At 40.0% G+C, this 27,646-nt stretch overlaps 1 protein-coding gene and 1 pseudogene across 44 annotated transcripts in view; one reads left to right on the top strand and one right to left on the bottom strand.

The window, feature by feature from the left end:
* TBC1D15 (TBC1 domain family member 15) overlaps positions 1 to 25,360 on the bottom strand; it is an 84,555-nt gene extending 59,195 nt beyond the window's left edge. For 25 of the 43 annotated variants that reach the window (NR_169774.1, NR_169780.1, NR_169777.1 and 22 more), the window contains exon 1: positions 25,308 to 25,360. Coding sequence is in view for 14 of the 43 variants with exons in the window: in NM_022771.6 (NP_073608.4) it covers positions 25,308 to 25,337 (30 nt within the window). In the remaining 29 variants the exon portion in view is untranslated. Of the gene's footprint in view, positions 1 to 3,622; positions 3,715 to 10,265; positions 10,335 to 10,516; positions 10,557 to 23,887; positions 24,019 to 25,307 lie in introns of those variants that run through there. The other 18 variants (NR_169765.1, NR_169767.1, NR_169785.1 and 15 more) reach the window with 7 other exon arrangements.
* On the top strand, positions 14,136 to 16,827 carry MRS2P2 (MRS2 pseudogene 2; annotated as a pseudogene). The gene has a single exon (NR_024072.2). The product of NR_024072.2 is annotated as an MRS2 pseudogene 2 (transcript).
* Positions 25,361 to 27,646: the final 2,286 nt, after the last annotated feature.

Genomic DNA, 27,646 nt, shown 5'->3' with positions numbered 1-27,646 from the left:
CTACACATAGAATACAGTGCCACTGCAGCTGCTTATGGGCCACAACAAATCTGACACCAAAAAGGACTTAGACACCCTCAGCTAAGTCTCCTGTTGTGAGGAAAATGAGACTAGGAGAACCCCAAAAGCCCTTGACAGCAAGGACATTACCACTGCTGCCACAAAATTCTACAACCTACGCCACTGAGGTGCCCACAATTATTGCTGATACTGAAAGCAGCTAAATAAGCTACGTGGATACTATACCACTGCACCTATTCGGAAACAATCACTACACCCTTCTCAACCAACAAATTAAAACCCAACTGTAGGTAGGCCGGGCACGGTGGCTCACGCCTGTAATCCCAGCAGTTTGGGAGGCCAAGGCAGGTGGATCACAAGGTCAGGAGTTCAAGACCACCCTGGCCAAGACAGTGAATCCCCATCGCTACTAAAAATACAAAAATTAGGCGGGCATGGTGGCAGGCGCCTGTAATCCCAGCTACCCGGGAGGCTGAGGCAGAGAACTGCTTGAACCCAGGAGGCAGAGATTACAGTCAGCCAAGATCATGCCACTGCACTCCTGCCTGGGCAACAGAGCGAGACTCCATCTCAAACAAAACAAAACAAACAAACAAACAAAAAAAAAAAACACTCAACTGCAGGTGAAAGTCATTCTCTATAAAAGCCACTCTACAGAGTTTAGAAAGGGAATTGTTCCACTAGATGCAAGGACATCAATGGAGGCACACATGAAACGAAAACAAAAAGCAGCCGGGTGCAGTAGCTCACACCTGTAATCCCAGCACTTTGGGAGGCTGAGGTGAGCAGATCATGAGGTCAAGAGATCAAGACCATCCTGGCCAACATGGTGAAACCCCATCTGTACTAAAAATGCAAAAATTAGCTAGGCATGGTGGCACGTGCCTGTAGTCCCAGCTACTCAGGAGGCTGAGACAGGAAAATCGCTTGAACCCAGGAGGCAGAGGTTGCAGTGAGCCAAGATGGTGCCATTGCACTTTAGCCTGGGCAACAAGAGGGAAACTCCGTCTCAAAAAAAAAAAGCAAGAAAATAGGACACCACCAAGGGAACATAACAATTCTCTAGTAGCAGACCCTAGTGAAAAAGAAATCAACAAAAGGAATTCAAAATAATAACCTTGAGGAAACACAATGAAATACAAAAAAAATACAGATAATTCAATAAAATCAGGAAAATAATTCATGATATGAATGAGATATTCCATAAAGAAATAGAAATAATAAAAAAAGAGCCAAGCAGAAATTCTGCAGCTGAGGAATTCAATGATAAAATAAAAAAATAAAAGAGAGCTTCAACAGCAGACCTGATCAGCAAAAGAATCTCTGAATTTAAAAATAAGTAGTCTAACATTACCTATTCAGTGAGGGGAAAAAAAAGAGTGACAAAAGCCTATATGCCTTATGGGACACCATTAAGCAAGCATATATTCCTATTTTGGCACTTCCAAAGTGATGAGAGACAAGAAAAGGTATAGAAAACCTATTTAATACAGTAACTGAAAACTTCCCAAGTCTGAAGAGAGATATAAAAAACATCCAGATCCAGAAAGCTCACAAGTCCCCAAATAGATTCAACCTAAAAAGGTCTTCCTTAAGGTACATTATAGTCCAACTGTCAAAAGAGAATTCTAAAAACAGCAGGAAAAAAACGTCAAGTCACATATAAGGAAGTCCCTGTTAGATTAAAAGCAGATTTCTTTTCTTTTCTTTTCTTTTTTTTGAGACAGAGTCTCACTCTGTCGCCCAGGCTGGAGTGCAGTGGCACAATCTTGGCTCACTGCAAGCTCCGTCCCCCAGGTTCATGCCATTCTCCTGCCTCAGCCTCCTGAGTAGCTGGGACTACAGGTGCCCGCCACCACACCTGGCTAATTTTTTGTATTTTTAGTAGAAACGGGGTTTCACCATGTTAGCCAGGATGGTCTCGATCTCCTGACCTCGTGATCCGCTCGCCTCAGCCTCCCAAAGTGCTGAGATTGTAGGCGTGAACCACCACACCCGGCCTAAAAGCAGATTTTTCCTTAGAAATCTTATAGGCCAGGACAGTATGAGATGATATATTCAATGTGATGAAAGAAAAATACTTCCAGCCAAGAATACTATATCTAGCAAAGCTATCTTTCACAAATCAGGGAGAAATAAAAGTCTTTTCCAGACATGTGAAAACTGAGGGAATTTATCACTACTAGACTGGCCTTATAAGAACTGCTCAAAGGAGTCCTATATCTGGAAGGAAAAAAAGATGAAAATTACTATCATGAAAACATACAAAAGTATAAAACTCATTGCTAGAGCAGATACACAAAGAATAAAGCAAACAGAATCGAATCTTACCATTACAGAAAACCACCAAACTTCAATGATAAACTATGAGAGCAAAAAAGGAACAAAGGATATACAAAACAACCAGAAACAATTAACGAAATGAGAGGAATAAATCCTCACCTATCAATAACAATCTTGAATGTAAACAAATTAAATTGCCCACATAAAAGATACAGACTGGATAAATGGAATTTTTTAAATGACCCAACTATATGCTGCTAACGAGAAACTCACTTCATCTGTAAAGACACCTACAGACTGAAACCAAGAGAGCAGCAGTAGCTTTACATGTATCAGATAAAACAGACTTAAAAATCAAAAACTGTAGAAAGAGACAAAGAAGGTTATTATATAATGAAAAAGGGATCAATTCAGCAAGAGGATATAACAACTGTAAATATATATGCACTCAACACCAAAGCACCCAGATACATAAAGCAAAATACTAGCTCTAAAGGGATAGCTATACTCCAATACAGTAACAGTTGGGGACTTCAACACCCCACCCTCAGCATTGGACAGATCATTTAGGCAGAAAATCAACAAGAAAAAAAAAATGGATTTAAGCTGCACTTTAGACCAAATGAATCTAACAGACATTTACAAAACATTTTATCCAACAGCTGCATAATACACTCTTTTCATCAACACATGGCCAATACCCTAGGACAGAACATGTTAGACCACTAAACAAACAAATCTAAACAAGTTTAAAAGAACTGAGATTATAAGAAGTATCTTTTCTGACCCTAATGAAATAAAACTAGAAATCAGAAACAAGAACTTGCAAATTTGTACAAATACATGAAAATTAAACGTTTCTGAATGACCAATGGGCCAAAGAAGAAATTAAGTAATTTTTTTAAATTTCTTGAAACAAACAAAAATAGAAACACAACATACCAAAACCCATGGGATACAGCAAAAGTAGTATTAAGAAGGAAGTTTATAGCAATAAACACCTACATTAAAAAAACAGGAAGAGTTCAAATAAACAACTGAACAATGCATGTCAAGGAACTAGAAAAACAATAACAAACCAAATACAAGTGAATAGAAGAAAAGAAACAATAAAGATCAAAACAGAAATAAAATTGAGACAAAAAAAAAATTTACAGAACAAAGTTGACTTATTAGTTAAAGGCAGCCAAAATTGACAAACCATTACTTATACAAACCAAGAAAAAAAGTGAAAAGACCCAAATAAAATCAGAAATTTAAAAACTATACATTAAAACATACCACAGAAATACAAAGGATCATTAGAGAGACTACCTACCATACTCCTACCATACTCCAACAAACTGGAGTATGGATAAAGTCCTGGACACATACTACTTATCAAGATTGAATCAAGAAGAAACCAAAAACCTGAAAAAAACAATTACAGTACAGTAAGTTTGAATCAGTAATGAAAAGTCTCCCATTAAAGAAAAGCCCAAAACCCAATGGCTTCACTGTGGAATTCTACCAAACATTTAGAGAAGAACAAATGTCAATTCTTCCCAAACTCTTCCAGAAAACTGAAGAGGAAACAATTTTTCCAAACTCATTGTATAAGGGCAGCATTACCCTAATACCAAAACTAGACAAAGACACAACAAAAAAAGAACACCATAGGCCAATATCCCTGATGAATACAGATGCAAAAATTCTCAACAAAATACTAATAAGTGGAATCCAGCAGCACATTAAAAAGATCACTGACCATGATCAAACACAATTTATCCCAGGATGCATGGATGGTTCAACATATGCAAATCAATAAATGTGATATATCACATCATTAGAATGAAGGATAAAAATCATACGATCATCTCAATAGACAGGAAAAAAAGCATTTTATAATATTAAACATCCCTCATGATAAAAACTCTCAGCAAGTTAGTAGAAGAAACATACTTGAACACAATGAACTCTACAGCCAACATCATACTTAACAGGGAAAAGTTCAAAGTTTTTCTCTAAGATCTGGTACAAGACAAGGATGGCCACTTTCACCACTTTTAGTCAACACCGTACTGGAAGTCCTAGCCAGAGCAATTAGGCAAGAGAAAGAAAGAAAAGACATCCAAATTGTAAAGAATCCTTGTTTGCAGATATAATCCTACACATAGAAAACCCTAAAAGCTCTACCAAAAAACTCCTAACACTGATTAATTACATAAAGTTGCAGGACACAAAATCAACGAACAAAAATTAGTAGTATTTCTATACAGCAACAATGAACTAGCAGAAAAACAAATCAAGAAAGCAATTCCATTTATAATAGCTACAAACAAAAAAGGAAATAATGTAGGAATAAATTTAACCAAGGTGAAAGATCTGTACAAGAATAACTACAAACACTGATGAAAACTTAAGGAGGACATAAAATAAAGGCATCCATGTTCATAGATTGGAAGAATTAATATTGTGAAAATGACCACAATACCAAAAGCAATCTAAACATTCAATGCAATCTCTATCAAAATACCAATGACAACCTTCCCAGAAATTGAAAAACAATCCTAAAATTCATATGGAACCACAAAAGATCCCAAAAAGCCAAAGCAATCCTGAACAAAAAGAACAAAGCTGGACGCCTCACACTACCAGACTTCAAAATGTACTACAAACCTACAGTAACCAAAACAGCATGGGGCTGACATAAAAACATACACAGACCAATTAAAGAGAATAAGGAACCCAGAAATAAATTTAGAGCCAACTGATTTTTGACAAAGTCACCAAGAACATTCATTGAGGAAGAAACAGTCTCTTCTACAAATGGCGCTGGGAAAACTAGGTATGTATATGCAGAAAAAATGAAACTAGAACACTACCTCTCACCACATACAAAAATCAACTCAAAATGGATTGAAAGGCTAGGCATGGTAGCTCATGCTTGTAATCCTAGCACTTTGGGAGGCCAAGTCAGGCAGCTCACCTGAGGCTGGGAGTTCAAGACCAGCCTGGCCAACATGGTGAAACCCCATCTCTACTAAAAATACAAAAGAAATCAGCTGGGCATGGTGGTAGGTGCCTGTAATCCCAACTACTCGGGAGGCTGAGGCAGAAGAATCGCTTGAACCTGGGAAGCAGAGGGTGCAGTGAGTTGAGATCACGCCACTACACTCCAGCCCGGGCAACATAGTGAGACTCCATCTCAAAAAAAACAAAAAGGATTGAAGCTTAAATGTAAGATCCAAAACTATGAAACTACTACAAGAAAATGTTTCAAAAACTACTAGAGGAAATTATTCAGGGCACTGGTCAGGACAAAGATTTTACAGAGAAGAATGCAAAAGCACTGGCAACAAGAGCAAAAACAGACAAACAAGATTACATCAAAATAACTTCTGCATAGCATAGGAAACAAGCAACAAAATGAAGATACAACCTATAGAATGGGAGAAAATACCTGCAAACTATACATCCAACAAGGGTTTAATATCCAGAAGATACAAGAAAGTCGAAAACCTCAACAGAAAAAAAAATACTCCAATTTCAAAATGGGCAAATAAGCTAAATAGGTATCTCTCAAAAGAAGACATACAGGAAGTTTATATTCAGAGCAACTTGAATCTATGCTACTGGATTGCAATCCTCAATCTTGGCCCAAATAAACTCTGTATCTACATTTAAAAATGACGATGACAAAAAAAACATACAAATGGCTAACAGGTATATGAAAAAAATGTTCAACATCACTAATTAGCAAGAAAATACAAATCAAAATCTCAATGAGATACCATCTCATCCCAGAAAGGCTAATTAACTGATGACTAATTTTTTGTCATCAAAACTACAAAAAAAAAAAAAAATGCTGGTGAGGATATGGAGAAAAGATAACTCTTATACACTGCTGGTGGGAATGTAAATTGGTACAAGCACTACTGAAAACAGTATGAAAGTTCCTCAAAAAACTAAAAACAGTGGCCAGGCATGATGGCTCAAGCCTGTAATCCCAACACTTTGGGAGACCAAGGCGGACAGATGGCTTGAGCTCAGGAGTTCAAGACCAGCCTGGGCAACATGGTGAAACCCTATCTCTAAAAAAATATAAAAATAATTAGCCAGGCATGGTGGCACATGCTTGTAGTCCCAGCTATTCAGGAGGCTGAGGTAGGAGAACTGCCTGAACCCAGAAACTGGGAGGCTGCAGTGAGGCAAGATTGCATTACTGCACTCCAGCCTGAGCAACAAAGAGACTCTATCTCAAAAAAAAAAAAAAAAGAAAAAGAAAAAAAAATTAGCATATGATCCAGTAATCCCACTTTTGACTATATTTCAAAAAAAAAAAAAGAAAATCAGCATGTCAAAGAAGCACTCCCAAGTTTACTGCAGCACTATTCACAATAGCCAAGATACGGAGTCAATCTAAGAGTCCATCAACAGATGACTGGATAAAGAAAATGTGGTGGCCGGGCATGGTGGCTCACACCTGTAATCCCACCACTTTGGGAGGCCGAGGTGGGCAGATCACTTGAGGTCGGGAGTTCCAGACCAGCCTGATCAACATGGAGAAACCCCATCTCTACTAAAAATACAAAATAAGCCATGCGTGGTGGTACATGCCAGTAATTCCAGCTACTCAGGAGGCTGAGGCAGGAGAATCGCTTGAACCCAGGAGATGGAGGCTGCGGTGAGCCGAGGTCACGCCACTGCACTCCAGCCTGGGCAAGAAGAGCGAAACTCCGTCTCAAAAAAAAAAGAAAGAAAGAAAATGTTGCATATATGCACAATGGTATACTATTAAGCCATAAAAATGAAAAAAATCCTGTCGTTTGCAGTAACATGGATGAGCATTGAGGATATATGTTAAGTAAAATACACCAGCCACAGAAAGATAAATACCACATGTTCTCTTACGTGGAAGCTAAAACAGTTGGCTTCAACGAAGTAGAAAGTAGAACAGCAGTTACCACAGGCAGAGAAGGGTTGTGGAAAGGGGAATAGACAAAGGTTGGTTAATGAATACTAAAGTACAGCTAGACAGGAAGAATAAATTCTAACGTTCTACAGCACTATCACATGATATAATTAACAATTTATTGTATATTTTCAAATAGAAGAGCAGATCATGAATGCTTCTAACACAAAGAATAAATGTTCTAAGTGATAAATATACTAAGATTTGATTACACATTATATACATATATCAGATTATCACACTGTACCCCATAAATATGTACAATTATTATGTGCCAATTAAAAATAAAAGCAAAATCTAGATTTTTTAAAGTCCAACTAAAACTTCAATAATATATAATGAAGATATTTCTTAATTACTCTGTCATGAATTGATTCCTGAGTAGTATCATCCTGCCATAGAACATTCTGCTTCTTATGTTTATCAATTGTAATAATTGATATTTGAAAAGTTATCTCTATGCATATTTGTCACAAAAAAATTATTTTGTTACAGGGAACAATTATGATGTGAATAATTTCATCTCACATAACATTTGTTAGTAGAATAAGCTTTCAATTTCTTCACTCTAGTTTTATTCATGATCTCTAACGCAAAAATTAAAAGGTTCTGGGCAGCCGCAGTGTCTCACACCTGTAATCCCAGGACACTGGGAGGCCAAGGCAGGAGGATCACTTGAGGCCAGGAGTTCAAGACCATCCTGGGCAGTAAAGCAAGATGCCCCCCCACCCCCATCTCTTAAGAAAAAAAATAATAAATTTAAAAAAATTAAATTTAAAAAATTTTAAAAGAAAGCTTCAAATGCTTTTATCTGCTATGTAATATTTTTATTACGCATTACTTTACGAAAACATTTCTATGTTATCACATCTGACCCTCAAAATTCAGTTAGATAGATATTATCATTCCCATCTTGTAACTGAAAAAACTGCAAGAAAATCAAGTGATTTGCTCAAGGTTCTTCCACTGCTCTGGGGCTGAGACTCAAAGGTCTACTCTACAAGTTTTATTTGCCCAAAGAGTACATAATGAAAAAGGCTATCAACTTAAGGCTCAGCATATATGGACACTGACAAAATTGTTCCAATATCCTACGTGCTGTTTGCATCCCAATCTGTAGTATTCACCAACTACCAGTGCTGTGAACATGAGTAGGTCCTCTGTACTACAGGAAGCAAAGAAAGAGCATCAGCAGTCCCTTTCTTCCTTTCTACTACCTAAGATTTGAGAGAAAATGAAGAGCTCACAGGAACAGTAGAAAAAAAATAAGTCAGGAAAAAAAAGAAAAAAATATATATCCCAAGAAGGTAAAGGTCAATGGAAATTACAATCAGGAATCTGGCAAATTGAAGGCTAAAAGAAGAAAAAGACTTAAACAAAAGTCTACACTACCAGAGACATGCAACATGTTGGAGACTCCTCCCATAAGAAGCCAAATTCTACAAAGAATCAGCACCATGCATCTAAAACAGCAAAAGAATGTATAGGCAATACATTCTCATGACTGTTACCTTAGGGATACAGAGGCATCAATATGTAAAAACGGAATAGCCTAATCAGTTTCCCAGACCATATCTGAGATATTACTAAAAGTCTATATAAGACCCCCAAGCCTAACAACTTACTAATTTGAGATATTTTACAAGGGAACAAATTATATGGCAAAAACTTATCTAAAATACATCTCTAATGGGGATATAAATGACGTTTTCATTTCATCTTCCAGTTCATCTGGCAGAGAACAATGAATACGAAAACTGCTCAAAGGATACATAGTGTCAAAATCAAGTTGGGTGGTTTGGCAGTATGGGGGCAGGGTGAACCATAATTTCTGTATGGTCCAATCTTTTAAAATCAAGAAATAATGTATTTGATTAAATGAATTTAAATTGAAATTTGAACAAGATACCCCCCCCCAAAAAAAACCACATACAATAACAAGACAAAAGGTGCAACTGATTAAGAAAAACAAAACTCTTAAAAACCCAGTAATACTAAGTAGAAGATATGGAAGAACCATTTTTTAAAAAAGACACAATAGCTATGTTTTAATACTACTACTAATAAAGAAATGCAAGAAAGTGATTATGATAAAAGTTAGGATAACTGTTTCTTAGGAGACAAGGGGTGGTACGTGGAAGGTCATCTGGAGTTATTGGCAAACGTCTTTTTTTTTTTTTTTTTTTTTTTTTTGAGATGGAGTCTCGCTCTGTCACCCAGGCTGGAGTGCAGTGGTGCGATCTTGGCTCACTGCAAGCTCTGCCTCCCGGGTTCACACCATTCTCCTGCCTCAGCCTCCCAAGTAGCTGGGACTACAGGCACACACCACCACGCCTGGCTAATTTTTTTGTATTTTTAGTAGAGACAGGGTTTCACCGTGTTAGCCAGGATGGTCTCAATCTCCTGGCAAAGGTCTATTTTTTAACCTAAGCTGTGATTACAAGTTTGCCTTATGATTCATTCAGCTATATGGTAAGTATGATTTTCACTATATGAATTTTTACAACAAAAATGCTAAAAATTACTGGTGATAAACACAAAATGATACGGTTTGACTGTATCCCCACCCAAATCTCATCTCAAATTGTAAACCCCACGTTGAGGGAGGAACCCAGTGGGAGGTGACTGGATCATAAGGACAGTTTCCCCCATGCTGTTCTCAGGATAGTGAGGGAGTTCTCACAAGGTCTTATGGTTTAAAAGTGGCAGTTTCCCCTGAGCACTCTCTCTCTCCTGCCGCCATGTAAGACATGCTTTGCTTCTGCTTCCCCTTCGCCTTCTGCCATGAAGTTTCCTGAGGCCTCCCCAGCCATGCGAAACCGTGAGTCAATTAAACCTCTTTCCTTTATAAAATACCTAGTCTCAGGTATTTCTTTATAGCAGTGTGATAACGGACTAATACACAAAATGTAAAGTCTTAAATAGGATCTAAATCAAATCTCAAGGGTACTGAAGGAATTTTGTCTGATGGAAAACATGATACAAATTCAACAATGAAAAAATATACCTTGAGAAAAAGAAAGGGAAGAACAGATCAAAGATTTGAGGAAGTAGCACCACCTGTCACCAAGCGAATCTGCAAAAGAAGGTGGGGGGGAGAGGAATGCAATTGTTTTGGAAGATTATACAGACTATCAATGAGAAGGAAGAAAAAAGACACTTTAATACAAATTACAAACTGGTATAAAACCACTCTATGTATATGATGATGACCTTCAGCTATCCAAACATCTACTGGCACATTCTCTAAATACATACCATCTGTTAAAATTCTTGAATATCTTGCTGATAATGTCGCCTGTCAGAAGGTACAGAACAGAAAAGAGAATTAATGCAGGCCAACAAGAAGGAAATGGTAAAATCTTGGGAGAAAAAACCATCTTAAGAGTTCATAACAACAAAGAGAACAAATTTGGAACACAAACATTCAGCCTACGATTGAAGGGGAAAAAAGATGTACAGAAGAGATAGGTATTAATTCCACCAAAAACAGAAAGGAAAAAGAAACCCTATATAAAAACTTCCACTTCTGGCCAAGATGGAATGACAGGCTGGATTTAACCTCCCACCAGAAAAATAATAATAATAATAAACTAAACTAAAAATACTGACCAATCTGTGAAACAATAGTTTTCATGATACTCCCCAGCAAACAATGAAGGATAGTGACTATTGAGAGAAAGGAACCAAATGAAGTGAGCAATACAATTGTCTAGCTTTATGTTGTGTGTTCCCAGCTATGGGAAAGGGAGAGAAAACTCAGAAGGTGTCCAGTGAGGAGAGAGATGTGGGAAATAGGGGATGCCAATACAGCTAGAGTTCACAGGAGAAAGTACCAGAGAAAAGAGAAGAACACACAGGGAACTCAAGAAATCTGCAGTCTTCCTCGAGTATTCAGCAGAGTATGGAACAGTGCATGTTTGTCAGTAAACTCTTCAAGGCGAGAGGGAAACTATTAGAAGAAACTATCTGCAGGCTCACATAACTGTTTGCACCAGTCAGAGTGGGAAATCTCATAATTCACAAAGCACTCCCTTGCCTCATCAGTGAGGCAAAATTAGTTCTATACTAAATGCAGTGCTGATACCATTTAGCAAAGTTTAAAAGCAAGACCCAAAAGTACCCAACTGACTCCAAGCAACTTAAGTGCCTTCTAACACAAAACTCAATAGTATTTTACAGAACACAAAAATATCTAGCACCCAAAAAGAGAATTCAACATATCTGACATCCAGTAAAAAATTTACCACTAAGGCATGCTAAGAGCCAGGAAAATATGACCTATAACAAAAAAAGTAATCAATTACAATTGACCACAAAACAACACAAATAGTAGTGAAGGATATTAAAGTATTATTTTAAGTCTATCCCATATGTTCAAGACACTAAAGTCACAACTCGGCCAGGTGCAGTGGCTCACGCCTGTAATCCCAGCACTCTGGGAGGGTGGTATGGTTTGGATCTGTGTCCCTGCCCAAATTTGATGTTAAATTGTAATCCCCAATGTTGGAGGCAGGGCCTGGTGGGAGGTAATGGAATTATGGGGGCAGTTTCTCAGTTTAGCACCATCTCCCTTGGTGCTGTCATGTCAATAGTGAGTTCTCCTGAGATCTGATTTTGTTTAAAAGTATGTGGCACCTCCCCTCTCTCTATTCCTCCTGCTCTATGTGAAGTGTTGGCTCGCTCTTTGCCTTCCGCCATGATTGTAAGTTTCCTGAGTCCTCCCTAGAACCTGAGCAGATGCCAGCACCACACTTCCTTTACAACTTGAAGAACTGTGAGCCAATTAAACCTCTTTTCTCTATAAATTGCCCAGTCTCAGATATTTCTTTATAGCAGTGAGTATTGACTAATACAGAAAATTGGTATCAGAAATGGGCATTGCTATAAAAACACCTTAAAATGTGGGTGCAGCTTTGGAAGTGGGTAACAGACAGAGGTCAGAAGAGTGTGGAGGGCTCAGAAGATAGGAAGATGAGGGAAAGTTTGGAATTTCCTAGAGACTGGTTGAACGGTTGTGACCAAAATACTGGCAGTGATACGGAGAGTGAAGGCCAGGCTGAGGAGGTCTCAGATGGAAATGAGGAACTACTGGGAAGTGGAGTAAAAGTCACTTTTGCTATGTCTTAGCAAACAGCCTGGCTGCACTGTGCCCCTGCTCTAGGGATCTGTGGAACTTGGAACTTGAGATGGATGATTTAGGGTATCCAGTGGAAGAAATTTCTAAGCAGCAAAGTCTTCAAGATGTGGCCTGGCTGTTTCTAACAACCTATGCTCATATGCATACGCAAAGAAATGACCTGAAACTGGAACTTATATTTAAAAGGTAAGCAGGACATAAAAGTTTAGAAAATTTGCATCCTGGCCATGTGGCAATAAAGAAAAGCCCATTTTCAGGAGAGGAATTCAAACTCACCGCAGAAATTTGCATAACTACCAGAAAGGCAAGTGCTGATAGCCAAGACAATGGGGAAAAGGCCTTGAAGGCATTTCAGAGACCTTTGCAGCAGCCATTCCCATCACAGGACCAACGCATAGGAGGGAAAAATGGTTTCCTTGGCCAGGCCTAGGGCCCTGCTGCCCTGCACAACCTCAGGACACTGCTCCCTGCATCCCAGACACTCCAGCTCCAGCTGTGACTCAAAAGGGCCCAGGTAAAGCTCAGGCTGCTGGGCCCTTTTGAGGCCCACAAGGTGCAAGCTATAAGCCATAGCAGTTTCCACATGATGTTAAGCCTGCAGGTGCACAGAATGCAACAGCTGAAGCTTGAGAGTCTCTGCCTAGAATTCAGAGGATGTATGGAAAAGCCTGGTAGTCAAAGCAGAACCCTGATGCAGGGGCAGAGTCCTCATGAAGAACCTCTAATAGGGCAGTGAGGAGGAGAAATGTAGTATCGGTGCCTCCACAAGAGCACTGCCTAGTGGAGCTGTGAGAAGAGGGCCACTGTCCTTCAGGCCCCAGAATGATAAATCCACCAAGAGCTTGCACTCTCAGCCTGGAAAAGCCACAGGCACACAATACCAGCCCTTGAGAGCAGCCACAGGGGCTGAGCCCTGCAACGCCACAGGGCAGAGCTGTCCAAGGCCTTGGGTGCCCACCCCTTGCATCAGTGTGCCCTGGGTGTGGGACATGAAGTCAAAAGAGATTATTTTGGAGCTTTAAGATTTAATGACTGCCCTGCTGGGTTTCAGGCTTGCATGTGCCTACAGCCCCTTTCTTTTGGCCGATTTTTCCCTTTTGGAATGGGAGTATTTACCCAATGCCTATAACCCCATTGAATCTTGGGAGTAACTAACTTGTTTTTCATTTTACAGCCTCACAGGTGGAAAGGACTAGCCTTGGCTCAGATGAGACTTTGGACTTCTGATTTAATGCCGGAAATGAGTTAAGACTTTGAGGGACTACTGGGAAAGTATGATTCTACTTTGAAATGTGATAAGGAAATGGAGATTTGGGAGGGGCCAGAAGAGGAATGATATGGTTTGGATCTGTGTCCCCACCTAAATCTCATGTTGAATTACAATACCCAACGTTGGAGGTGGGGCCTGGGGGGAGGTAATAGTGGGGGTGGTTTCTCACGGTTTAACACCATCCACTCTTGATGCTGTCATCACAATAGTGAGTTCTCATGAGATCTGGTTGTTTAAAAGTGTGTAGCACCTCCCCCTCCCCCTTCCTCCTGCTCTATGTGACGTGTTGGCTTGTTCTTTGCCTTCCACCATGAATGTAAGTTTCCTGAGGCCTCCCAGAAGCTGAGCAGATGCCAGCATCATGCTTCCTGTACAGCCTGTAAAACTATGAGCCAATTAAACCTCTTTATCTATAAATTACCAAGTCTCAGGTATTTCTTTCTTTTTTTTTTTTTTTTTTTTTTTTGAGATGGAGTGTTGCTCTGCCACCAGGCTGAGTGCAGTGGCACAATCTTGGCTCACCACAAGCTCTGCCTCCCGGGTTCAAGCGATTCTCCTGCCTTAGCCTCCCAAGTAGTTGGGACTATAGGCGCGCGCCACAACACCTGGCTAATTTTTGTATTTTTAGTAGAGACGGGGTTTCACCATGTTGCCGAAGATGGTCTCGATCTCCTGACCTCACGATCCACCCACCTCGGTCTCCCAAAGTGCTAGGATTACAGGCGTGAGCCACTGCGCCCGGCCTCAGCTATTTCTTTATAGCAATGTGAAAACTAATACAGAGGCCCAGGTAGGAGGATCGCCTTGAGGGCAGGAGTTCAAGACCAGCCTCGGCAACACAGCTAGACCCCACGTCCACAAAACAAAAAAAATAGCCAGGCATGGTGGCACATGCCTGTAGTCCTAGCTACCTGGGAGGCTGAGGTGGAAGGATCACTTGAGCCCAGGAATTCAAGGTTGTAGTGAGCTATGATCATATCACTGCACTTCAGCCTGGGCGACAGAACAAAAACTCTGCGACTGCCTGTGGCTGTGCAGCCAACCTGCTCAGAAGGAGCTGGGTGGCCCACTGTGCGAACCCCGCCGGCTCCACATGGCAGGTGAAATGCACTGGTTTAGAACTTCTGATGTCTTTCAAACCACTCTAGCCAGTATAGCCCCAGTATTTACCATGACAAAATTTGACAGAGAAATGTTACTTCTTTTGAAAGGAAGAAAACTGAGTTATACCAAGAGTTAGGTCTTCAAGCCAGAGATTTGAGATTTCACTATGTAATGAGTATCACAGCCAGAAATAATATGATTATCATGAGAATGGAGTATTTGAAAGCTGAGATAACTCCAGAGTGTCTTCTGATATTAGATTATCATAATTTAAACTCACAGCGATGGCTGTTCCGGGAACTCTCTTCACAATTGTCTGGAGAGGGTCAACTTGTTAGAAACCCTTTAATTTTTTGAGTTTAGAGCTATAGAAGCACTCCTGCAATACTGGATCAACACCCTTCAGGGGAAACTTAGCCTTTTCCAGCCACTGATCCTCAAGACGCTGGAAGCTTTGGTGGACCCCAAACATTCTTCTATAGACAGAAGCAAACTCCACATTTTACTACAGAATGGCAAAAGTCTATTAGAGTTAGAAACAGATATTAAAATTTTCAGAGTCAATTTTGGAGATCCTGGATGAGAAAGAGTTGCTAGAAGAGCTCTATCAAAATGGAGTGACCCCCGAGTCTTTGAAAAGAGCAGTACTGGGACTGACCATGCAGAGGAGATAGAGTTGCTGATGGAAAACTACTACCGACTAGCTGACGATGTCTCCAATGCAGCTTAGGAGCTTACGGTACTGACTGATGATTCACAAAGTATTATTTTCATCAATCTGGACAGCCACTGTAACGTGATAATGAAGTTGAATCTACAGCTGACCATAAGAACCTTCTCTCTTTCGCTCTTTGGAGTAATGGAAGTTGCTTTTGGAATGAGTTTGGAATCTTCCCTTGAAGAGGCCCATGGAGTGTTTTGACTGATTACAGGAATTATGTTCATGGGAAGTGGCTCAGCTGGAGGCGCCTGCTTTCATTCCTTGGACAACAGCTAGAAGCTCCATTGCCTCCTATGATAGCCTCCTTACCTAAAAAGATTCTTCTGGCAGATAGAAGCGTGGAACAAAGAACAGTCTCAGACCTGATGCACTTGGATCAGGCAGGAGTATCCTAACAAACCATGAGGAACAACCCTATGGACACTGAAGTTTTTTGTTTTTTTTTTGTTTTTTTTTTTTTTTATAATCACAGTTAACTTCTGATACTTTTATTATTTTCTTGTATGGAGTCAGACACTTGAAAAAAATTAATATCTGATGACAAAATATTTTGGCAGTCACAATACTAGAACTTGATTGCATTTCCAGAATTCTGAGTTAAAGAAACAAAGTGTTTGCTTTGTAACAGGCCAAAATTCTATTTCCTGCAAACTTTAAATGCTGTTTTTATAGACATGATGTGAGGCAACAGAAGAACAGACAGTTGTATAGATTTTATTTAATTTATACATAACAAGAAAAGTATAATTTCAGGCTGAATGAAGCCTAGGAGCTTGACAAACCCATAGGAAGCCATAGTTCTTTGTTACCACAGGGAATTACGTCCAAGTGAATTTCCTGATTCTCAGGTGACTAAAAAGCTAGCACTCTATGTATTAACCTTAAAACAAACTCTGAAAGTTTATGCTTTAAAAAACAAACTTTGACATAACATTATTTTCTTAGATTTGGCCCCCCTTTTATATAAGATGAATAAAAATAAATAATTTTTTTAAAAAGACCCAAATGAACTTGTATTAAAAGGATTTGTATCCAGAATATAAAATCCAGGACATAAAAAGAACACTAAAAACTCAGTGACAAAAAAACACAGTTTGAAAAAAAATAAGCAGAAGATTTAAACAGACACTTCATCAAAGAAGATACAAGGACAGCAAATAAGCACATGGAAAAATACTCAACACCATTAGTCATTACAGAAATGTAAACTGAAACCATAATGAAACACTATTACACACCTATTAGAATGGCTAAAATTAAAATGACTGACATTAAATATGGGCAAAAATATGAAGCAACTGGAACTTTCATACACTGCCAGTGGAAATATAAAACACTACACCTACTTTGGAAAACAATTTGGCAGTGTGTTAAAATGCTACACACACAACTAATATATATGATCCAGCCACCCCATTCCCAGGTATCCAATCAAGAAAAATGAAAGCATATTTTCATAAAACACATATACCAATGCTCAGAGCAGCTTTAATTTATTTTATTTATTTGTTTGTTTTATTATTTTTTCGAGACAGAGTTTCGCTCTTGTTGCCCAGGCTGGCGTGCAGTGGCAAGATCTTGGCTCACCGCAACCTCTGCCTCCTGAATTCAAGCGATTCTCCTGTCTCAGCCTCCCGAGTAGCTGGGATTACAGGCATGCACCACCATGCCCAGCTAGTTTTGTATTTTTAGTAGAGACAGGGTTTCTCCATGTTGGTCAGGCTGGTCTTGAACTCCTGGCCTCAGGTGATCCACCCACCTCGGCCTCCCAAAGTGCTGGGATTACAGGTGTGAGCCACGGCACCTGGCCTAAGAGCAGCTTTATTTGTAACAGTCAAAGTGGAAATAACCCAAATGTCTATCAAACACATGACTAGATAAACAAAATGTGGTATACCCATACAATGAATATTATTTGTGGGGTTTTTTTTTCGAGACAGTCTCGCTCTGTCACCCAGGCTGGAGAGCAGTGGCACAATCTCGGCTCACTGCAACCTCTGCCTCCCATGTTCAAGCAATTCTCCTGCCTCAGCCTCCCGAGTAGCTGGAATTACAGGCACATACCACCACACCCAGCTAATTTTTGTATTTTTAGTAGAGACAAGGTTTCACTATGTTGGTCAGGCTGGTCTCGAACTCCTTACCTCGTGATCCACCCGCCTCAGCCTCTCAAAGTGCTGGGATTACAGGCGTGAGCCACCGTGCCTGGCCCAATGGATATTATTTGGAAATAAAAAAAAAACTAATGATACATACAACACCATGAATTTCAAAATAATTATCCTGAATAAAGAAAGCCATACAAAAACAGAGTATATACTATATAATTCCATTTATATAAAGTTCTAGAAAATTAAAACTAATTTATAGTGACCAAAAAATGCTCAGTGGTTGCCTGAGGACACATGGAGTGATGGTACAGTGAGTCACGAGAAAACTAACAGAGGTGGTGAAAACATCATTATCTTAATTGTGTTCATGGGTTCATGGTGTACACAAATGTCAAAGTTGTATACTCTAAATACATGTGGTCTATCATATCAATTGTATCTCAAAAATAGCTGTATAGGCCAGGTACAGTGCCTCACCTGTAATCCCAGAACTTTAGGAGGCCAAGGTGAGCGGATCACTTGAGGCCAAGAGTTCTAAGCAGACGGAGCAACACGGCAACACTCCATCTCTACAAAAAATACAAAAACTAGCTGGGTGTGATGGTGCATGCCTTTAGTCCCAGCTACTCAGGAGGCTGAAGTGGGAGGATCACTAGAGCCCAGGAGGCGGAGGCTGCAGTAAGCCGAGATCACACACTACACTCTAGCCTGGGCCACGGACCAAGGCCATGTCTCAGGGCAAAAAAAAAAAAAAAAAAAGCTGTATAAAAAATAATTTACATAGAAAGTCCATTGTTGTAAACAGTAAAAACCTAATTAAAAATAAATACATACATACATGAGGACATTCTCACTAAAAAGAAAGAAATTAGTCCTGCCTCAAAAAAAAATTAACAATCATACCCTCACTTAGCTGGGAATCAGGTGTTCATAGGAAGCAAAATATATCAAGAGCATTCAAAGACTTGCCACTTGGTGGTGCTAAACTGACTGTATAAAATTCAATTCAACAAACTTTTATGAAGCAATTATGTGCCAGACATCATAAAGAACAGAGAAATTAAAAGGTATTAGAGTTCCTTGCTTGTCTGTACCTGGCAAAATTATTGAAAAGGTAAAGAAGGAATATTCTAAGTGTAAAAATACTACAAAAAAAAGGAGGAAAGTTTTCCTTTTGGGATAAAAATGTCTCATGCCCTCCAGGCTCTTATTTATTCTTAAATATTTGCTAAGATGCCCAAGCAGATAAGTACATTTATAAAACTTCCAATGATGGCCTGCTGAAAGCAACAGAAACTGTATTTTGTTTTTCTCCTCTAGCAAAGGAGCTATGTCAGATATACCTTATTAAAAGAGTTCTGGTGACCACAGCAAACATTTTAGAATAAATTTTCTCACCTCTAATTTAGCAAAAGTTTTAATTAAAAAGCAAAAATGAGGCAGAAAAACAGATAAATTCAACTTTTAGACAGAATGAACTTTTGCACAATCCAACTCAAGAACATCCTTCCTGACACAAAGAGCTGGAAAAAATAAGGAAGTTTCACAATACAGTAGTAATTTTTTATACTGTCCCTACACTTAATACTGAATTTTTACTTATATTATGATTATTATAATTTTTATTTATTTCCAAAAATGGAAGATAAAGGAAAAATTCAACCCAAATATTTTAAATGTAGCAGTAAGTTCAGGGTAAAATTATTGCCCTAAATCATTCTCCAAACTTGGAAACCCATCACCTATCATACACAACATGCATTCTTAACTTTAGCAATTATGTGAACTTACAGGCTAATATAACAACCAAAAAAGGTACAAAAGTTCAGTTTCTTTCAAAACTATTTGGCATACAGATGATAATTTGAGCATATGGTTCCAGAAAGCATCCCCAGGAAATGCGAGACTGAGCATCCTAATGGGCTCCACACCCAAATATCTAAGCACCTACTTGGTATCTCCATTTCAATAAGGCATCTTAATCTCATGTGTTCTATCTAAACCTGCTCTTCTTCTATATTCCCAATTCTGTCAAAGATATCTCATCCACCCACTTATTCTAAATGCTTCTTTCACCATCCAGACCCTATAACCTAAGTCCCTCGAACCTTCTCCTCTGACACTGGCCCCTTATCATTTCTAGCCTAAGTCACTAAAATAACATTCTGATCTCTCTTCTTCTGATCTAGTCACCTTCCAATAATCTGCCTAAGGTGCATAATGTATAACCACTGCCCAAACTAACCTTTACAAAATGTCCATCTGGTTATACCACACAGGGGCTTAAAAATCTTCTGACTTCACCCTTTACCTCTACAGTGAGGCTATACTTCCTGATACTCCCCAACACATAAAACATTTCTGCCTTGGGCCATTGTGAACTCTGTTACCCAAAAGCTTTGTACCTTTTTTCAGGTGTATTCTGTTCCATCTACCTGGAACACCCTTTTATCCTTTCTCTCTGCAAATAACTTCTACTAAATCCTTCAGAAAAGAACATAAGCAATAGCCTGCCCAAATTCTTTGAACTACTCTCCATTCCACTTAATCTGATTTAGAAGTTTCTTTACTCATGCATTCAGCACATTTATGAGCACCAACCACATGCTGGAAATAAAAGGTGTCAGTGGCAAAAACACACACAAGGAAAAGTGTCTGACTAAACTAGCAGTATTATGTAAGCCAGTAAATCAATGTATATAGTAGAGTGTAATAGAGGAATGCAGAGAATCCTGAATGAGGTACCATTTTCAGTTACTTCTTCAATAAATATACAGTAAACGCCTACCATGTGCCAGGTACAGAGCAAGCTACTAGGTGTAAATAAGTAAGATTCAGTCACTGCCTCCACAGCAGTTACAATCTAATGGGATGACAAGAAAACAGACAATTACAACATGTAATTGTACCAACAGGCTGCCACAGCAAGCCCTAATAAATGCTATCTTACCTAGATTTAGGAGGCTCAGGCAGAGTGAGAATCAGGAAAACTTACTTAGAGCGACATATAAACTGAGATCTAAATAATGGCAATTTTAATTAGTAGAGGGTATAGGGAAGCAGAGGATATATGTTCTTAGCAGAGGATATATTTTATACAGAGCAGTAGTTCACTGCATGATTGAAACCCAAATACCAGAGAGTAGAGTCTAAATAGTTTAGAAACAAAAACAGAGACCAGATCAGATCATAAAGGGCTGCATAAGCCATGCTAAAGAATTTAGGAGTTTGAAATTTATCCTGAAGACAGACAAACGCAACTAGAAATTTGCCTTTTCTAAGCCAATAAAGTGGCTGCAGGGCCAAGAACGAACAGCTGCAGTAATCCAGAGAGGGAGAGACTCATGGTTGCTTGAACTAAGGCAATGGTAGTGGGGATGAGGAAAGGCAGATGGCTTAGAAAGATATTTAGAAGATCAAAATGACAAGACTTCATGACTGATTAGATGTGAGAGGTGAAGGGGAGAACAGTCAAGGACAAAACTGTGTAGATGAGGTTATTTACTGAGAGGGAGAACAGAAAGAAGAAAGCTGAGTTTTATTTGGGATGTGTTAATGAGTAATGACTATGGAACTAAAAAAAATGCACAATACAGGTGGTTGTAAGGGCAATACATCACAGATAGTCTGAAGTGAAGAATGTTTTGAGATATAGAGAATGGTACAACTCTCAAGGAAGAGCAACTGGCAGAACTATTATTGCTTCTCAAGGATATTGGTGTGCCAAGCGAAGTCAGATAGGAGACGTGAATAATTTAAGAGTTGGAGGAGATACACAGTCAGCGCTGCAATGAACCATGATCACACCACTGCACTCCAGCCTGGGTGACAGAGCAAGACTGTCCCAAAAATAAATTAACAATAATAATAATAATAATACAAGTCTGTGTTTAACCACCCTTGTATCCAAAGAACTCAGCACATAGGAGGTACTAAAACGTTTGTTGAACTAAAGAATGCCAGAAAAATTTAAAAATAAGACATACTCCTATTATACCCTAGTTAACTACCATGTTAAAAGATCCAGTCTAGGAAAACAAGTCTCCAGGAAAATCTAGATACTAAGAATATTCATCTTTCTAAAGCACAAAAATTTTATAGGACTATGAGCATATTTAAAAAGAATTGGTTAGGGCCAATTTTAAGCTACAAAATAAATTGTTACTAAAAATGACATCACAAATTCTAATTAAGAAAAAAAAACAGCTGATTTCCCTATTGTTTCAAGTAATTTTCTTTTTCATTTTTTGAAACACAGTATGCCCTTCGCCCAGTCTGAACAAGTGGCACAATCTCAGCTCACTGCACTGGTTTCAAGCGATTCTCCTGCCTTAGCCTCCTGAGTACCTGGGACTACAGGCGTGTACCACCATGCCCGGCTTTTGTATTTTTAGTAAAGACAGAGTTTCACCATGCTGGCCAGGCTGGTCTCAAACTCCCGACCTCAAGTAATCCACCCACCTCAGCCTCCCAAAGTGATGATTACAAGCATGAGCCACCGTGCCCGGCCAGTAATTTTCAATAGAAAGAAATTCTAATACACTAACAGGAAAACCTAGAGTGAATGAAGTGTACTACAATAGGATTTTACAACTCTGAAACAAAAGAGCTATTAATGGACCCATTTCTCCCACTCTAATCCCTCCTCATTTTCTTTTTCTTTTCTTTTTTTTTTTTTTTTTTTGAGACAGGGTCTTGGTCTGTCACCCAAGCTGGAGTGCAGTAGCACCATCATAGCTCACTGCAGCCTCCAAGTCCCAGGCTCAGGCAATCTTCCCACCTCAGCCTCCCAAGTAGCTGGGACAACAGGCACATGTCACCACAACTAGCTAATTTTTTTATTTTTCATAGAGACAGGGTCTAGTTATGTTGCCCAAGCTGGTCTTGAACTCCTGAGCTCAAGTGATCCTCCCACCTCAGCCTCCCAAAGTGCTGGGATTACAGGCCTGAGCCACGGCACCTGGTTCCTCATTTTCTCATACCTTCTTGCTTCTTCCTCTTCACTGAATACCTATTATGTGCCAGAATCTATGTTAGGGGCAGATGAAACATTTCAGGATCTGACCTCATGATGATTAGTTCAGTCTACAGTTTCTAATATATTTACTCATTAATCCTCATACCAAGAATAAAGTAGGTACTGTTATCATATCACAGATGAGGATACTGAAGCACAGAGAGGTTAAGTAATTTTACTGAAGTCGCTTGTAAATGTGTGGAGATAATTTCTGAAACTAGTTTGGTTTCAGAGACCAAGCTCTTAACCATTACCTTTTGCTGCTTCCCTACAAGACAGAGATTAACTTCCTCCATCACTTTCCGAAACTCCAAGTTCAAAGCAAGTAGAGTTTTAAGAAAAGTTACATCCTAGGTGGAGACACTGAGAGACTCTAATTCAACAGAGCTGGTAGCCCACCATCTGTACTTTTATTAAAAAGTATCACGAGTGATTTTTGTGAGCCTTGGTTAACATTCACTCCCCTGGATTTCTAAACTAGAACTCTTAGCTAAAACTTGAAGGGAGAGGGGAGATGAATAAATAAACACACACACACATTTTCTCCCCATCCCCTTTCCTAAAGAAAAAAGATTAGGAAGTAGGGAAGCATAAAGGTATCATGTCTTTTTATGTTACATTAACCAGCTTTCATTATTATTATTATTATGCTGACGATAAAAAAGTGAAGAGTTTTCATTTGCTTTTTAAATCAAGAGATTATCAGGTTTGCGCATTAGAAAAATAACTCCAGTGGTGGTGTAGAGAAGATTAAGGGCAGAGACTGTAGAAAAGGAGTAAAATCAGCCAAGAAATCAAGAATAGAAGCAGACTAAAAGCCTGAACTATGCGCTGATAGTAAAGAAGATGCAGTAAATTTAAGAAACCTCTTAAGGTAAAACTGGTAGGACATGGTTATTGATTAGAGAGTGTTATAGGAATGAATGCCTCCAAGTATGTTTAACATGCAACCAGGTGAAAGATGATGCCATTAAACCAGATCTGAACTTACTGAGAGAAGAACAAGTGGGTTTTGTTGGTCATGATAGTATTACTTGGGAGAGGAGCAGCTTTTGGCATGGAAAACTAGTTTCAGTGGAGTGATGGCAATAGATGTGAATTTGCAGTGAATGAGAATAAATGAGGTTATGAAGCAGAATTACTAAATATAAGTCTCACTTTAAGAAGTCAGACTATGAAAGGTAGTGGCTGCAAAGAGTGAAAAATGTTTTTCATTTCACAACTCTGCTTCATTGCCTCAAGGATTCTTTCAAAATCAATCCAAACCTGAAAGAGGGAGATGTTTAAACGGAAGGGATCCCCTCTTGAAAAGTCCCAGCCTGGATCAGTTTAGATGGAAAATCAAACAGGATAATCTTCAAATACGCAGTAAGTCAAGCAGTATATCAGCATCCACCCTGAATATAAAAAGAAAAAAACTGACAAGACAACCAAGGAGCACGAATAATCCAAAAAAGGATGCCCACCTATCCTTTAAAAGAGCCAGTAGGTACAAGTGTGTAATTTTATGTTTTTTTAAAAAAAAATTTATATAACCCTAACAACTCCAATACAAGAAATAATGATTGGCATCTCCTCCATTCTACAGATAAAGAACGCGAAAAGACAAAAGTCACAATTGCCCAATTTTCCAAGGTCATACTTCAGATTAACAGCAAAACCAAGCCCATATTTGTCATTCAGCCGCCTAGTCTAATACTCCAAACACCAAACCACAAACGCTGTCAAATAATTCAAAATGGGGTAGGGAAAGCAACAGGGAGACATGAGTGAAACTCAAGGAACAGAGGACGCTATCTGCAATGAGTAAACAACCATTAGTGTTCGATGAGTCACTTCAGTTGATTCCAGCTGTTTATGAAATACTCCTGCACTGGGAAATACTATCGGTGGCATATCATAAAGCTGATAGCCCTAACTATGCATAAGATGTGCCCTCGGAACGCGAATAGGCACTATTCGACGAAATCTCCGCACGTAATTCTAGTTTCCAACGAAATTAGGCGTGTCACTGACCACCTCCGTAAACCAGCATGACCAATACTCCTACTGAAATGCCTAGGAAATAAATATTTGGACGCCTTCCTAGACAAGCACAGGATGGTGTAAATCTCCATTTCTCTCAGGAAACACGTCCTGCTGCTCACAACCACCAACCAACTCAGCAGCTTGGTAAAAACAGACCCAATACACTCGTTTCTTCTAAGCGCACAGCTAGCTGCCTAGCATCTATTCAGCTCCTCCCGAAGGAAGCATAAACATCTTCACCAAACTGTAGCAAAGAAGACAGAGGCAAGTCGGGTTAACGCTTCAAAGAGAGAAAAGACGCTGGAGTCAGAAGAGTAGACATAAAGAACTAGAGTCAAGAAACAGTGAATCGGGGGAAAAAAGGAACTAGAGAGCCACCTGTCCCTTAGTAAAGGTAATACGAATAAAAGCCTCTCTGCTCTGGGGCAGAAGAGCGCCGAGGCCTAGCTGGCCTTGGAGCAGTAGCCGGCTCTATAACTCCGCGGCTGAACTGGCATTCTCGGGAAACCAGCTGGTACCACCCAGTCTTCTCCTACAGACGCCACGGGTTGTCCGGACACAGAAAGTCCCTCGTGTCCCTCCCCCAACCAGCTGCCAGGGAGCAAAAGCATCCCCGTCCCAGAGAAAAGCCGAGGTCTTCCTGGAGGCCGTTACCTACCTTCCCGCTCACAACACCCGCCGCCGCCATGTTTCCTGCGCGTGCCTGGTAATGACGTAGCAGAACCTCACGTGTCTCTCGGACATACAACAACATCCGGCAAAACTAGAATAACATCCGGGCGGGAAAAGGGCGGGGAGTGGCGGGAAGGGAGTGGAGGAAAGGAGCCGGGCGGAAAAAAGCCGCCTGACGCGTGCGTGCTGAACTGGGCTCAGAGACGGCTGGGGTGGAGTCTCAGGCCTAACGCTACGCTTGTGCTTGCCCCACGTCCTCCCCAAGGAAGACTGCTAAAATAATGTGTACCTTACTTGTATTGGAGTTTGTCGAGACTCTGAAGCTAGCGCAGGCCACGCCAGTTTGGTGAGATGAAACGAATACCATACTGGAAGCCAGCAAGATTTGTCCTGGTTTTTTGTTGTTGTTGTAGAAAAGGAGTCTCGCTCTGTCGCTCAGGCTGGAGTGCAGTGGCGCGATCTCGGCTCATTGCAGCCTCCGCCACTCGGTTCAAGCGATTCTCAAGCCTCAGCCTCCCGGGTAGCTGGGATTACAGGCGCGCGTCAAACGCCCAGCTAATTTTTAAATTTTTATTAGAGACGAGATTTCGCCAATGTTGCCCAGGCTGGTCTCGAACTCCTGACTTCAGGTGATCCGTCCGCTTCAGCCTTTGCCCAGAGAGCTGGGATTACAGGCTTGAGCCACCGCGCCCAGCCCATTAGCCTGGTTTTGTGGCAGTAGGCAAATCACCAGTGCACTCGAAACCTCAGTTTCTTATAGTAAAATCAAGATAGTGGCGTTGCGGTGAAGATCCAAGAAAGAGCAGCACTAACATGGAGATATCCCAGGCACTATACATGGAGACTTTTCCCCTCTGTATATGAGGTTTCTCTATTTGTCTGGTCACTGCCACTCACACATGACCTCCAGCAAGGTATTTCGATAGGAACTGTGATAATACCACGCCCTCATAGCTGCAGAGCCCAAGGCACATAGTTTATAGCACCTACACATTACTTATTAGCTCTGTGACTTAAAGCAGGTTTCTAAATTTATCAGAGCTTCAGGATGTAAACTGGGAATTACTCCTGCATGGAGTGGTTGTAGGGATTTCATACGACAATACATGTGTGGTAAAATGATTTGTAAAGATACTAAGGTAAGAATTTTACTTGTTCTCAGTGCTGTAAAAGAATGCAGAGAATGATTATATACTACCCCCTTGATAACTCTGGCACAGATCTGGGATTTCCCTAGCTCCGGGGCAGAATAAAAAGTCCCTTTCACCAAAAACACTTGTGTCCATTGAGGTACTTCCGTCTTCACACAGTGGAGAGGGGTTAGAGGCTTTTGAGTTTGGTTGAGGTAGGTGGCAACTAGCTGAACGACAGAAAAGGAGAGTTGCCGGTTATGTGACTACCAGGAACCTAATAGGTGAGGAAAGTGGTGGAACCTTAGGTGGGAATGAATGCGTAGCATATTAGGGAGATTGCGTGCTAGGTATCTGAGATTCCAACCATGACCAAGACCCTTATGCCCAAGCTTGGCAGGGAATCAAGAAAGCAGCTCACCTACAAGGGATGAATGAGGTGGGAAAATGAGAATATTAGCAGTAATCAGCATTGAGTGAAGACTAGAGGGCCTTTTCCAAATGTACTGGACTGAGACTAAGACCCCTAGAACCTTCATATAATCTTGGGTGTGGAGTGGAAAATCCTACTGATGACCCAAATTACATTTTCCACCAGCTCAGAGCATTGGGATGTGGTTAGAGAAAAATTTTAATGTGACATCACATTTCTTACACCCTGTGTTTTAGAGAAAATTTGAAGCCCTTAGCACAGTGCCAGGAATAAAAGGCTCAATAAATGTAGTTATTACTTATATTTTAAAATATAAGTTTGAGAACTACAGGCTTCTCATTGAAAAGCATCATTGGCATCTCAGGTTCATCTGCTACTTCTTGACCTTCTTAAATTTCATCCTACAAGTGTGCCTTAAATAATGGCGCTACCCATGGGCTGGCCTTGGGCCTCTCTTCCTTTTTCTCCAAACACTATTCCTGGGCCGTTATCCTCATATTCTGGCATCAAAATCTCCTATGTACTGATGACTCCCAAATATTCCCAGCCCAAGTCTCTCTTTCCTAAACTCTAGTCCCTGTGTCCACTGCCACTGGACTTCTGACTTGAGTGAGCTAATCATACATCAAAAAAGTATAAGCCTTTACTACTCAAAGTGTATGTGTACAGACCAGCAGCACCAGCATCAGTTGAAAGCTTGTTAGAAATGCAGAATCTAACTGGGCACGGTGGCTCATGCGTGTAATCCCAGCACTTTGGGAG

The sequence above is a fragment of the Homo sapiens genome, chromosome 12, assembly GCF_000001405.40.
Source record: "Homo sapiens chromosome 12, GRCh38.p14 Primary Assembly".
In the NCBI taxonomy this organism is placed as follows: Eukaryota; Metazoa; Chordata; class Mammalia; order Primates; family Hominidae; genus Homo; species Homo sapiens.
This window is presented reverse-complemented; position numbering and strand designations above follow the sequence as displayed.